General features: G+C 42.4%; 1 protein-coding gene across 12 annotated transcripts in view, besides 2 other annotated features; it reads left to right on the forward strand.

Moving 5' to 3' along the window:
- LRRC8D (leucine rich repeat containing 8 VRAC subunit D) overlaps positions 1-13,737 on the forward strand; it is a 115,580-nt gene that overhangs the window by 14,667 nt on the left and 87,176 nt on the right. For 6 of the 12 annotated variants that reach the window (XM_047423953.1, XM_047423956.1, XM_047423944.1 and 3 more), the window contains exons 2-3: positions 7,940-8,084; positions 10,819-10,960. The gene's annotated coding sequence lies outside the window, so the exon portion shown is untranslated. The remainder of the gene's footprint in view (positions 1-7,939; positions 8,085-10,818; positions 10,961-13,737) is intronic. The other 6 variants (XM_047423947.1, XM_047423940.1, XM_011541689.2 and 3 more) reach the window with 1 other exon arrangement.
- Positions 6,872-7,166: a silencer, noted in NCBI's record as "tiled region #10367; K562 Repressive non-DNase unmatched - State 15:Elon". NCBI's record gives its function as "represses a minimal TATA promoter and a strong SV40 promoter by Sharpr-MPRA in K562 cells {active_cell/tissue: K562}" and the evidence as "EXISTENCE:reporter gene assay evidence [ECO:0000049][PMID:27701403]".
- Positions 7,690-7,909: a silencer, noted in NCBI's record as "silent region_1060". NCBI's record gives its function as "represses an Ori minimal core promoter by ATAC-STARR-seq in GM12878 lymphoblastoid cells {active_cell/tissue: GM12878}" and the evidence as "EXISTENCE:reporter gene assay evidence [ECO:0000049][PMID:35858748]".

A 13,737-nucleotide genomic window follows, 5' to 3' on the forward strand; every position in this document is an offset into this window, starting at 1 on the left:
ATGAAGATACAATAATATTTACCTCCTAGGGTTAGTTGTGAGGATGGTTTATATAAAATGCTTAGAACAGTTCCTGGCACATAGTTAACACTCACGTGTTAGCTGCTGTTGCTGTTATTATTGTCATTAATTCTGCAGATACCTAAAGGTATTCCTTGCCTGCATTGCTCGCGTATTGAGGGCTTCACCTTAAAAAATAACTGTACAAATTATGATTGAGAGTAGTAAGGGTGACATATTAGAAAGTTTTAATTATTCAGTGACCCTCTTTCCTTTCAGAGCCTTTTATTTTCTAGAAACATATGCTTTCCTCCCATGAACAAGCCTGCTAGGACATACTTAAAACCCATATCTGGTCAAGAATCTCTTCCTGCATATTGGCTACAGAGCTAATAGTGCAGTTCTTCAGTCTCTTAGGAGCTACATGAAATGATGCTCACTTTTACATTTCCTAGGACCCAGCCTGAATATAGGTCATTTTTTTTTCAAATGTTTCAGAGCTCTCTTACTCTCATTTGTTAGTTCTAAATCAACTGCTAACATTTAAAATACAATTTTTGCTGGGAGGACAGATAGTTCTACCAAGGGATAAGCTATTTCTCAACATTAAAGAAATTAGAAATTATAATTTATGCTTAAAAAAATAATGTTAGTTCAAGTTTTAGCTTGCTTCTCTCTGCCTTCTCTACTGTTCTTTGTCCTGCCATGTGTTTGCAAACCATTCTCATGACCTTCTGCCTGTGCGGCATATTTGTAGTGGGGCCAGATTATACATACGCCACTGACATTTTCATCTGACCTCCTAAACTCAGCCTTTGAGCCCCTTCTTTTCTTTGGGTTTTCCTAACGAAGTCTTGTTGAAAGGAATATTATTTCCCATGGAACTTTACTGATAGTGTATGGAATAATACGATCATGCTCTGTGAAGTTCAGACCTGAAGTCTTAACATTTTAAACATGTATCTATTTGCTATTGCTTACTTAGTTCAGTCTTGGCATTTTAGGTTTAGAGGTGGTTACTACCCATTGGACATCCATAGCCACTCCCTGCAAATTAAAGGGGACACAAAAATGAAACTGAACTTCTGTTTTTCTTCACCTCTCTGCTAATTTAACTAAGTCAATTGGCTCGCCCTCATTTGCCCTCTTCACACCTCCCAAATTAATGTTATGTGCAAATTTGATTAAAACAGCGTGAGTAATTTCCAAGTTACTTTTGAATACGGATTGAATTCCGTTCCTTGTGGCTTTTTCTTCATCATACTAGTAGATGTAGCCAGTGTTTTTGTTTCTAGCCTGCTTAACTTGTGTGGTTCTTGGAACAACATAAGTTTTGGTTGATTTAGGATCCTGATTTCACAGGATACTGTATCAACTGCTTTACCAAGATCAAAGTACATGGGTTCACTGCATTCCTTTCAGTTGCTAATTCAGTTGTGCTGTAGCCAGGCAATCCTGGAGCCTTGAAATCCAGGATTCTGGTCAAGGTGAGGAAGCAGCCCTTCCTCCTGGCCTTTTCATTCTGCAAATACCTTTTCTTTCCTTCTTAATATTTATTTATTCAGCAATGTGGCCCAGGCTCTGCATCCCTGACTTCCTAAAGCTTTCAGCCTAGTGCCCCTAGACAAGTGGTTACATTCTTGCTACAAACTGGAAAGTCTCTGAGCCCCTCACCCCACTCCTCCCCACTTCTTTTCTTCTGCTGTATTTATGGCACTGTACCTCATGAACTTTCACACAAGGGAAAGCAAACTCAATCCAATTGGGTCTTATGGGTAAGAAAATGTGTTGGTTAAAGTAGATTCTGGTCAGCCAGGCTATCGAAGTTTTAGTATTTACTAGCAGTGTGACTTTGGGCAAATTACTTAACATCTCCATGTCCATGTCTCTTTTCTCATCTGTAATATGAAGATAACAATAACTCCTACCTCATAGGGTTGTTGTCAGGAATCATTGAAGTGTTAATACATGTAAAGTGCTTGGCATTTATTAAACTAGGGTTAGTTAAAAAATTGATGAATAAGCTATTAAAAGTTCATAATAAAGTTTCTGGAGTTTTCAGGTACTCCGTTTCTCTTTCGTGCTATTTGCCTTGGCTATTCCACTACAGGCAAAGGAAAGGAGATGAAATTTAAAGTATCTAATTTTGTAACCTTAAATTATTCATGAATTGTTTTTCTTCGTGTAGACTCCATTATAATGTATAATGGAGAATTGTATTCAAGATATGATGTGTGTGACTTATTCCTTATGAACTCTGAAAGTCATTTTTAAGAACACTTCTTAATAATGAACATTATATTTATTTGACTTTTTAGGATCCAACCCTTTTACATTGTTGGGCTTTTTAATATGTTATTTAAAAAACAAGATTGCCCAGGCCAGGCGTGGTGGCTCACGCCTGTAATCCCAGCACTTTGGGAGACCGAGGTGGGTGGATCATTTGAGTCCAGGAGTTTGAGACCAGCCTGGGCAACATGGCGAAACCCCTGTCCCTTAAAAAAAAAAAAAAGGGGGGAAAAAAGAAAAATTAGCTGGATGTGGCGAGCTCCTGTAGTCCCAGCTACTGGGGAGGCTAAGGTGGGAGGATTGGTTGAGCCTGAGAGAACAAGGCTACAGTGAGCTGAGACTGTGCCACTGCACTCCAGCCTGGGAAACAGAGTGAGACTCTGTCTCAAAAATAAAAATAAGATAAATAAGATTGCCCAAAGAGAATTAAAACAATGTTTCAAATAAGGAAGCAGATACTACCACAGAAGATTAACAGACAAAACATGCTTTCCAAAGAAGAATGAATTATAGGACAGTATTTCATCTATGTAATACACATCAAAATCAACAGTCATTAAATAATCCAAGGCTATTCATTCCTAGCAGTCTGTGCTGGGAGCATTTTGAACAGTCTTTTATACAGGTATTTGCATTTAGTCAGAATTTTGGGGGATCTTACCCTTCTTTCACAGTATTATGCCTAGTAAATCCCAGTACATCAACCATCATGTCCTACTTTACATGCATTTTTTTGCATACTAATTGAAGAATGAGAGAGGAAGCTTGGAAAAAATGTATTAAGATTTTGTTTATCACAGTTTGATCAGTGGATCAGTCTTATTATTTTATAAAATAATATCCAGCTGCAGCTCAAGTGCATATTTTACCTAATTTATATCTACTTATATTCCTATGGCTTAAAGTCAGTTGACCTATTACAAAATACATGTTTATCCTTTACACTTTACCAAAATCTGGCGAGGTGATGAGGGTGTATGATGCACTTGAGAGAGAGCATTACAAGTTATCTTTTTAAAGTGGGATTTTTTTTCTGAGCAAAAGATATGTAGTGCAGAATAATATATCCACAGCCAAAATGCACCCACTCATTTCTATTCAATTAAAAGAAGGAAGAACAGACCCAGGGTGAGTTTTCGTTCCATTACCTAAGGCTTTGAGAATATCACTTAACATCTGTGAGCCCTGCTGCTGCTTCTGTAACACATTAATAATGACACCTCCCTGCGAAGGTAGTTCTGAGAATTCATTGAGGCAGGGCCTGTGAGGGTTTGTCCTATGTAATGTTAGTAATTTTGTGCAAGGTGTGTGGGTTCATTGTGTGTGTTTGGAAGCTGAGGAAATTGGAGCACTGAGCTTAGAGAGATACCAGCTCAGGCCTGTAGCCACCCTGGCCCTACCTGCCTGGTGGTTGGATCTTCTAAGTCATGCTGTGGGGTGCTTTAAGTAGTGCTTTCCTTCTTGCTTTCTCAAAATCAGGAAACTATCTTACAGGCATATTTTTTTTTAAACATGATTTGCGACCCCTTGCTGCATTTTGTCATGTGAAATGACACTTACTCTGGTTCTTTAAAGATGGCTAATAATCCTCTATGGGTAAATGCCAATCAGGCCAGCCAGTTGGCTCTGCGAAAGGCTTCCTTGAAAGCCATGGTTCAGGTTTTGCAGAGACCAGGAAGTGAATGTGAGTGCCAGAGACCTCCTTCCCAGAAAATCCTGTTGCATGTGCTACCCCGGAGGTGAAGACAAGGTAGGGACACTGCTGTGAAGGCTGATAGTGCAGAGGGTCATCTCTTTGGCAACCAGACAGCTTGTCATTTTTTATTTTCTTGTTTGTAAAATCCATGTGTAATAATCACCAGGACTCCTGATATTCACACAGAGAATTGCTTGTGGCAAACATTTTTAACCGCCAAACTAAGATCTTTCTTAAGATGAAGAAAGATAAGCAGCATTGTTTTTTAGAGATGAGTTTATCATCTCCTCCTCCACACCCATTAGTCCTCAGAAAAGCTATTTCTTGAAACTGAATTTGGAGCTTCTAAAATGGCTTTCACAGTGTTGGTCTCTTCATCTGGGGATTATGGTACTTAGGGAGTGGAGACTTTCAAAGTGAACCTTCCACATTTTTCCAAAATCTTTTGTGGCATAATTTGTGCCTACCTGAGAGCGCATTTTTTCTTTTTATGAGGTTGTGATTTTAATATATATACATACACGTGCACACACACACGTGCGCATGCACACACACACACAAAAGCATAACAGCGGCTATGAGAAAGAAACACTTCTGCATGAAACACAGAAGGAGCGGGCGAATAGCTGACCAGGGGAAAGTATGAGATGGTGTTCAGGCCTCATGGTAGTTAGGATTAGGAAATGTCAGGGGCTGTGTTGTATTCTCCAAACTGTAAACTTTGGGAGTCGTACAGAGTGAATGTTAATAAATATTTTTGATAAGGAGGAGGGTTTGGGTTTATAGGGAGCCTAAGAAAGAGAAATGTGGCTGCCCTTCCCCCACAGCTGGCCACTGCTCTGGAGGGGAGAGTATTAGACATTTGGGTGTGGACATAGCAGCATAGGCGAATACCATTGTTAGTCTCCCACCAAATGCTCTTCTGTATTTTGTTACCTATTAAACCATACAAACTCTCCTATATATCATTAAATTATCACTCAGTACAGTACTTGGACAAAATAGGAATAGTCTACTGTTAACTGTTTTTAGATTAATGACTTTGAATTTTTCCTAAGAGAGATTTTAAGAAGTTAGATAGTCTAATCGCATGAGTCCCAAATATAAAAAACAAAGGCTCTGCAGGTTTAAGTTTTCCTTTGCCTTTTCTTAAGAATTTAAATATTTTTCTTCAGAGGTTTTCCTTGGGCTCTTAGATAATGAGTAACAAAAATGAAGGAGGGATACCAAAAGATATTTCAAAACATAATTGTGTCCTTAAAAACATGGTAATAATTGACAGGGTTTTTAAAATGAGAGAAGTTTCTAGCTAAATGCCCTGCTTCACATCCCCACTCCCCACACTGAGTACTTTGTGGAAAATATGTGGTAGCTGTTTGGGAAGAAGTATTAAGTTTGTGAAAAGACATGAAGAGTTGCCAGGACCACGGTAAGCAAAGGATTGAGAGAAGGAAAAAGGTGAACAGAGCTAGACCCTAAAAGGATGCTAAGATCCCTTGAGAAGTCTTTTAGTAAGAAGCCCTCCTTAGACTGCGAGTGCCTAGTGGACAGGAATGCATCTCACTGGTCCTTGCAGTCTTCTTCCCCGCCCCTGCCTTTGTACTTGAAGGCCATGGTCATCTGGGTGCACTACAATTCAAGTCTGTGAGGTGAGGAGAAAAGGGTGGGTGAGGTGTAGTTCATCGTCTGGAGGCCTCAGTATTGTCAAGACCACCCCCCCCCTTTTTTTTGTGAGTGCACAAGACTCTTAATCACCTTTTCATTTGGTTGCGTCAGGAGCCTCATAGCAGCATGCTACTGACAGGTGATTGTGAACTAAGTGTTATAGCAGAAGGAAACAGAAAATGAGAGAATGTCAACTTGAAGCCATGTGTGTTTTTGTGAACATCATTTGCCACTTTCTTAAAGAGCCCCAGTTAGAGAAAAAATAATGCAGGAATCGAATTTTAGTCAGCTTGTTAGGTTCTGAACTGGACAGACTTTGTACCTTGGCATATGAGTAGCCATTCTAGAACCTTTTGAACTTTTGCCACCAAGTAATTCTGGAAAGGCTGACAGCCAGCAGTAGGTAATGGAAAAAGCCAGTATCCTCTGCCCGAGAAATTAAGGTGTGTATTATTCAGGTGGTTAAAGAAACTGCCTACCACAACAGCAATAGCTGGTAAGTAGCAGGATCATTCAGAGATGAAGGGATGGATCACAGGATGGTTGCTGTGCTGGACTTTCTCCCTAGAATTCATGATCATTGGCCAGGAGTGGTGGTTTACGCCTGTAATCCCAGCACTTTGGGAGGCTGAGGCGGGTGGATCATGAGGTCAGGAGATCGAGATCATCCTGGCCAACATTGTGAAACCTCATCTGTACTAAAAATACAAAAAAATTAGCTGGGCATGGTGGCGTGTGCCTGTAGTTTAAGCTTCTCGGGAGGCTGAGGCAGGAGAATCGTTTGAACCCGAGAGGCGGAGGTTGCAGTGAGCCGAGATCACGCCACTGCACTCCAGCCTGGGCGACAGAGCGAGACTCTGTCTCAGAAAAAAAAAAAAAAAAAAGAATTTGTGATCATTGTAGGAATTCGCAGTGTAGGGGAAATGGTACAGATTTTATAATCAGGAAAGACCTGTATTCAGTTCTCCATTTGACCACTTTCTGCCAGAGCCATGGGAACAGTTTTTTAATTTCTCTGACCCTGTTTCCTCACTTGGGAATATGACTTTTGCAGATCTGTTGGAAAATATTAAGGCCAAGAGGGATTTAAAATGAGATGTTGTCTAGCACTGAGTAGGAGCTTAATATCTATCCGTTCCTTTCTGCTTCAGTCAAAACTGAGCTTCATATGTAGAATGATTATTGTTTGTATTACATTCTCCATTTTGAGTATGGAACCATGAATGCCAACAGCTTGATAATAAAAGGAGCCGTTTGTCAAGAGACAGTCCTGTAAGCGCTTTTTAACCTGGTAGACTGTGCATGTAAGGGCAGGCAGGTTACAAATGCGAATCCCCATAGCCAGCACACTCTACATACAGCAGATTCTTAAGCCATCTGTGTACTCTTTTTAACACTGTACTGAAGTCCACTTAAGTCAGAGTTCAACAAAATGAATGAATGTAATCCCAGGACTATGGAACTTCTCTGTGATTACATAGCACAGAGAACTACGGAATCATTTTCTGGAAGAATGCACCATGCGATTATGCTCCATGTGGAATTGGTATATATAAATGTTGGTAGACTGTGAGGATGAGGTTGACAGGTTGATCTGAGTAGAGACCCTAGGAGGAACCGAGGATACTATGTAGTTTTGTTGTTGTTACTGTTTTGCAGTTCCTGGCTGCTCTGTGTTGGCAGCTGTGTGCACGCTTTCTCTTTTGAGCCAGCGAGGCACAAGACAAGTAATTTCCCATCTTGAATCTCTCACAGCTGCTGAGCTGTAGTGGATATACTGGGATGTGGCTATGAACTTTAAAAATTTGCATAAATCCAGCCCCTACTCCCCTGCAAAGGCTCAGTCTTGTCTTTACACCTTCCCCGAGGTAATTATTTTCTGGGGGGTAGGGGTGGGGGTTGGGAGGGTGAAGAAAGGAAGAAAAAGAAGGCCGATCACACTGGGCACCGGCGGAGGAAGCGTGGAGTCCATTGATCTAGGTACTTGTGGGGAGGGGAGAACCCGAGCAGCAGCTGCAAACGGAAGGGCTGTGAGCGAGCGGGCGGGCGGGTGGCTGGCAGCGAGGCCACCAGCAGGGGGGGCCCGGGCCGAGGCCGCGCCACCTCGGCACCACGCGGGCAGCCGGTGCGGCGGGGTCGCCACGGCCAGGGGAGCGCTGGGTGCCCACCATGGCAGTTATGCAAGCGGTGACCCCCTGGTCTTGCCTCCCCGCCGCCCTGCACTCCTTCCTCCCCGCTGCCGACACTTGGATCTCTCTAGCTCTTTCTCTCCCCTGTGTTTTCAAACAGGAAGTGCACGGCTGTCTATAACGTGCTGCCGGGTCTCAGGATGGAGGAGTGAAGTCTCCTGTCGCCGTGGTTCCAGCCTCCGGAGCTCGCCCAAGCCGCGTCCCCAGAGAGCGCCCTGAGAGAACAGGGTGGCCGCTTGGTCCAGGTGCGCGGGGTCGGGTCTGGGTCCAGGGAGCGGGTCGGGAAGTCTGCGGCACGGAGCACTGCTAGTGTCGGATCTGCATCTCCAGCTCTGTGCTGCAGCTTCACTTGCCCGCCCCCCACCACTGGCTTCTCACCCGGGGTCTCTGCCAAACTCTGGCTGCTGCCGCCCTGGGTTCGGGCCGGCGGAAGGCCCTGGGCGTGCGCTGCGGAGCCGCCTGCGAGGACTCCACTAGGGCGCTTTCCAGGCTGGACTGCCCCGGGCTGCGCTGGAGCTGCCAGTGCTCGGGGAGTCTTCCTGGAGTCCCCAGCTGCCCTCTCCACCCTCTCCTCCAGCTGCTGCTGCCTGAAGCAGCAGCTCTTTGTTCCTCCCTTACTGGTCTGGGGTCATACACATAAATGTCCTGGGAGGCAGGGTGGTGGGAGGGTAAGGGGTTGGGACGTAGGGAAGAGGAAGAAGATGAGTTGTGGGTGAAGTGTAAGGTGGACAGGAGAAAAGAATCTTAGTGTCCATGCTCAGAAATCAGCTCTTCAGCTGCTGAAACAGAGGACCCCGGTTCCTTGGTTTCTGTTTTGGGAAAGCCAGGCCATGCCAAACAGAGGGAATTAATGATGCAGGCACACACCGGAAAGGTAGGGACCAGGAATGAGGCACAGCAGCGAGTTCTGAGATGTTTAGTCTGGTGTCTGGCTTGTTAACTCCACTGTGGTTTCTGAGCCAGGCCTCCTCGCTGAGACAGAAGGTACTTTAACATATGAGCCAGGCATCTTTATTAATTCCATTTGTCATCAAAGTAAAATTGAGAGTGACTTTTCTCAAATTCACCAGGTAGATTATACTTTCACTTCCACATCGTGTTCCATCTCAAATGTTCATAGGAGAATAAAACACTAGGGTTGGTTTTATGCTACAGACGTTTTGCATCTTTATTTCCCTGGCAGGTCCAATCTTTCTCCAGAATAACTCAGATTGACTTCTCCCCCCAGTGAAAGCCTAGCCTTGTTTTACCGCCTGTTTATCTACCTGGTGAAACTCTAGTCTTGGGGAGGACACTAAGGGGAGTGGGATGGCTGAGAATAATCAGTTTGATGGGATCATTATATGGCCTCAAATTAAATGTTTGAGCCCTGTTAAAGCCAGTAGCATCTTCTTAATTTTTATTTCCGAGGAAGGGATGTGAGCATATGACTAGAGGGGAGGAAAGTGAGACTCTGCCAAAGAAGATCTCTCCCTGTAGCACAGAGGAAAAGTGAATCTGTGTAGCACAGTATCACATACACTGCGCGCTTTCACTTTATCGGGTAGCCAAGCCATCTAAGGAGTCAGGGTTAGGTGTAGAATTTACATTCATGACGTGGGATGCTGACTATAGCATTCTGATGCTGAAAATTTTATCATAAAACATATTTACTACATAATTAAGTTTGCTTTGAAAGGAAAATTTACCAGGGTGGTACAAATTTACCAGCTTGAGTACAAAACATGTAATCAATAAGTACATGGCATTAAGTAGCCAAAATGCACTATGAAAACTGAACAATTAAACTTATCCTTCCTAGATAGACATGAACTTCGTAAGTTTGAATTTAATTGTGAGATGGCTGTGTTTATGCCTCTTCTTGCCAAATACGTCATGAAAAGTGAGAAAGTAATCGAGAGAGATTCTTTTTATTTTGAGACGGTTTTTCATTCTGTCACCCAGGCTGGAGTGCAGTGACGTGATCTCAGCTCACTGCAATCTCTGCCGCCTGGGTTCAAGCGATTCTCCTGCCTCAGCCTCCTGAGTAGCTGAGATTACAGGTGCACGCCACCACACCCAGCGAATTTTTGTATTTTTAGTAGAGACAGGGTTTCACCATGTTGGCCAGGCTGGTCTCGAACTCCTAACCTCAAGTGATCTGCCCACCTCAGCCTTCCAAAATACTGGGAGGCCACCACACTCAGCCAGTCAAGAGAGATTCTTGAAAGACCTGTACAACCATAGTGTTTTGCAGCTACTTTTTTTTTTTTATTTTTGAGACGGAGGAGTTTTGCTCTTGTTGCCCTGGCTGGAGTGCAATGGTGCGATCTTGGCTTACCACAACCTCCGTCTCCCGGGTTCAAGCGACTCTTCTGCCACAGCCTCCCGAGTAGCTGGGATTACAGGCACGCACCACCTCGCTCAGCTAATTTTGTATTTTTAGTATTGATGGGGTTTATCCATGTTGGTCAGACTGGTCTAGAACTCCTCACCCCATGATCCACCCGCCTCGGCCTCCCAAAGTGCTGGGATTACAGGAGTGAGCCACTGCACCCAGCCACTGCCTCTACTTTTATACCTATGTGTGTTCCTTGCCCCCCAGTTTATTAATTTATTTGGGGACTTTCTTTAGCATCTGTCACTCTGCTCTAAGATACAGTAGAACAGCTTTTGTGAGCCTCCAAATCTCCCATTTAAGAACAGAGTCTCCTTCTATTCTAGTGATATTTAAACTCAGAAATCATAACTGGCCTTTAGATTGTCATGTTCTGTTTACACAGTGTATATGATGTATTTTTTTTTTTTTTTTTACTCCTTTCAACAGAGCTAAACTCTTCTTGCTCCTTTCAATGATGTAGTGAAGTAGGATTCATTTTCTCCAGTTTATGGAGAGAGGAAACAGGCTGATGAGATGTAACTTGTCAGTGGTCGTATTAGTAAATGGAGTTGTTGGGACCTGAACAAGGTCTTCTGATGTAATCCGTGGTTCTTTTGTAGTCTGGAAAGCCGCTGCCTAAGGAAGAGGTGGCAGTGCTGATTCAGGTGGTCCTTTGCCATTCCAAAAGAAAGCTGGATTGCCTTACCAAATCTCCAGGTTTTTCGTTATACCTCTTCACTCAGGCTCTGCCCAGAACTCAAGGTTTGTTTTCATTTTTAAAGCAGTTTTTTTTTTCATATTTGAAATTTACACTTCCTGTGTGTCTGTGACTAGATTTAGCTGTGTTTGCACCAGTGTGATTTGTATTCTGCCAAAATTCTAGTAGTATATTTTAATTTACAGATACCTTTTGTCAGGTTTTAGTGAGCAAGTATCTTTCCAAGGGATCAGATTACCATATTTTAATTTTTTAGAATTAAAAAACCTCTTCTGGCTTACTCCTAGGGCAGTTTATATCCCAGAAAATTAATTAATTAGTAAATGATATATATGACTCTCCACTCCCCACTACTGCTGCCACTGTGCGCATCCCCTACTCTTTCATTCCAGCTCACAGTAATCCACTGAGAGGCTCACATTACAGAACAACGTGAGCAAACCCATGTAACTTTAAATTATAGATTAAATATTTTTGTAACATTCCTTAGATGCAAGTAAGTTTATTTCCTTATCTTTGTAGCGCTTAAAGTTGAGGCTCTCTTTAGTTACAGTTTTAATGTTGCACCATTAACTAAACTGTAAAATTATGGTTTAATTTGTTATACTGCAAATTAAAATTTGGAGTACAATTTTCATAAGTGTTGGATAAAATATTTGTCTTCTCTTCAATAATTGGAATATTTGTAGTGGCCTATAACTTCCCCTCTGTAAAACTGTGGTCAAAACCCTCAGGGAGAGGAGAAGGTAAAGGAGGAGCAAAAGAGAGGAAATGAGAGCTCATTGTTTTGTAAGGGAGGAATGAAATGATACATGTATGGTTCCTTAATACGCAGTGCACTGCCTTTTCTGTCTGTCGGTGAGTTGCAGTGGCTTGTGAACCAGCCGTGCATCTCTTCCAACAGAAAGGCTAAAAATGAAAGGGTAACTAGCTTTGATGTTAAATGCCAAGGAAAAGTTAATGGCCAAGAGGGGACTAGGAGTGGAGATAAATGCAAGTTAAGATTTCATTTTTTCAAAACTTTTTTTCCCTTCACGTATATTATAAAGTAAAAAATGCCTTCTTAGTCAAATTGTAAACTGTAATGCAGTGGCTCCTGACACCAAAATCAGGAAGCTTTTATTTAATATTAAAAGATTTCAACGATCTTAACTGGTTCACTGTTTTACTTCGTATCTCTTATAATTGCAGATGTTTCATGAGAGTTATTTAATATCAGCCAAGTATATATTGCAAATAATGACTTCAGCATCTTCCTGTATTTGTAAAATAGCACTGCATGTATATATGAGGTAGGGATTCAGCCTACAGACCTCTTGCAGTACCCTGAAGTCTACAGGTTGGGAATTGAGGCCAAAGCAAAACAACTGCTCCAGACTGAAAATGCTGAAATGGTGATGAAAAATGCATAATATGTTAGCCATCAGATTATAAAGATTCCCAGGTGGAATTTTTCCTCTTTGTTGTACATTAAAAGGATGATGTGTTAAGCCCTGATTTTGGATCTGGTCATGTTTCCGGGCTAATCGTTTTTCATGGTCAGCTTTGAGATCTTTGCAGTTAGTCATGGATAACTGGATTTCTCTTAAGAGCATTTTCCCTACAATACTTCTGCGAATATGCCTTCCCTGTTTTTGTAGAGTCAGGACTGTGAGGCCAGTTTCAGAATCATGATGGTCATAGCCACTACCACCACCACCACCAGCCCTATATTCATTTCCCAGAAGCTAAAAGAGGCTTCCCAATCTTAACCTTTACAATTTGTGGTAAGTTTAAGGAAAGGGAGATAGGATTTATCCCTGTTCTGCAGTGGGAAAAACTGATGTGTGGGTTCATATTGAATTAGTCTCTCTGATTTCTGTGTGTGTTGTATTGACATGAATGTAAGTCATTCTGCTTGAGATAGGTTGAGCAGGGCATGGAAATCTAATAGGGTTATTTCATGAAGTTCCTTTATTTGTTAAAAGAAATTACTTCCTATCTATTGAACACCATATTTTTCAGGCATTGACAAATAGACACTGATTATCTCTAATCCTCCTGGTGTTATGCAGAGTGGGTAATAACCCTGTTTGTTTTTTTGGTTTTTTGGGGTTTTTTTTTGAGACTGAGTCTCGCCTTGTCACCCAGGCTGGAGTGCAGTGGCGCGATCTCGGCTCACTGCAAGCTCTGCCTCCCAGGTTCATGCCATTCTCCTGCCTCAGCCTCCCGAGTAGCTGGGATTACAGGCGCCCACCACCACGCTGGCTAATTTTTTGTATTTTTAGTAGAGACGGGGTTTCACCGTGTTAGCCAGGATGATCTCGATCTCCTGACTTCTTGATCTGCCCGCCTCTGCCTCCCAAAGTGCTGGGATTACACGCATGAGCCACCGTACCTGGCCAATAACCCTGTTTTATGTGAAGAAACTGAGGCAGGCAGAGACTCCAAGTCACACAGACAAGCTAAGGCCTGGACTTGGATCCAGGTTTGTGCAGTCTCCAACACTAAAACATTTCCCTCACTGTATATCCTGCTTTCCTTGTTCTTGAACTAGACTATGTAAAGAAATGATCATGGTTTGTTTAGTCTTACCTACCCTTTCAGCAAAAGTTAAGTTAAAACTGTAAACAATATGGAGACAGTACAAATAGGGACATGAAAGGGTCAACATTTTTATGAATATTTTTGGCTTCCATGTAGTATGTATTAATTTTTTTCTAAGCAACCTAGGCATATGGAATTTATTGGCCTTCATGAGAATTTCTTGAGGCGATATTGACCACAAACAATATTGCTGGATCATAGGATATATGCGTACTAGGAACTGCATAATTTTACT

The sequence above is a fragment of the Homo sapiens genome, chromosome 1 (genome assembly GCF_000001405.40).
Source record: "Homo sapiens chromosome 1, GRCh38.p14 Primary Assembly".
Taxonomy (NCBI): Eukaryota; Metazoa; Chordata; class Mammalia; order Primates; family Hominidae; genus Homo; species Homo sapiens.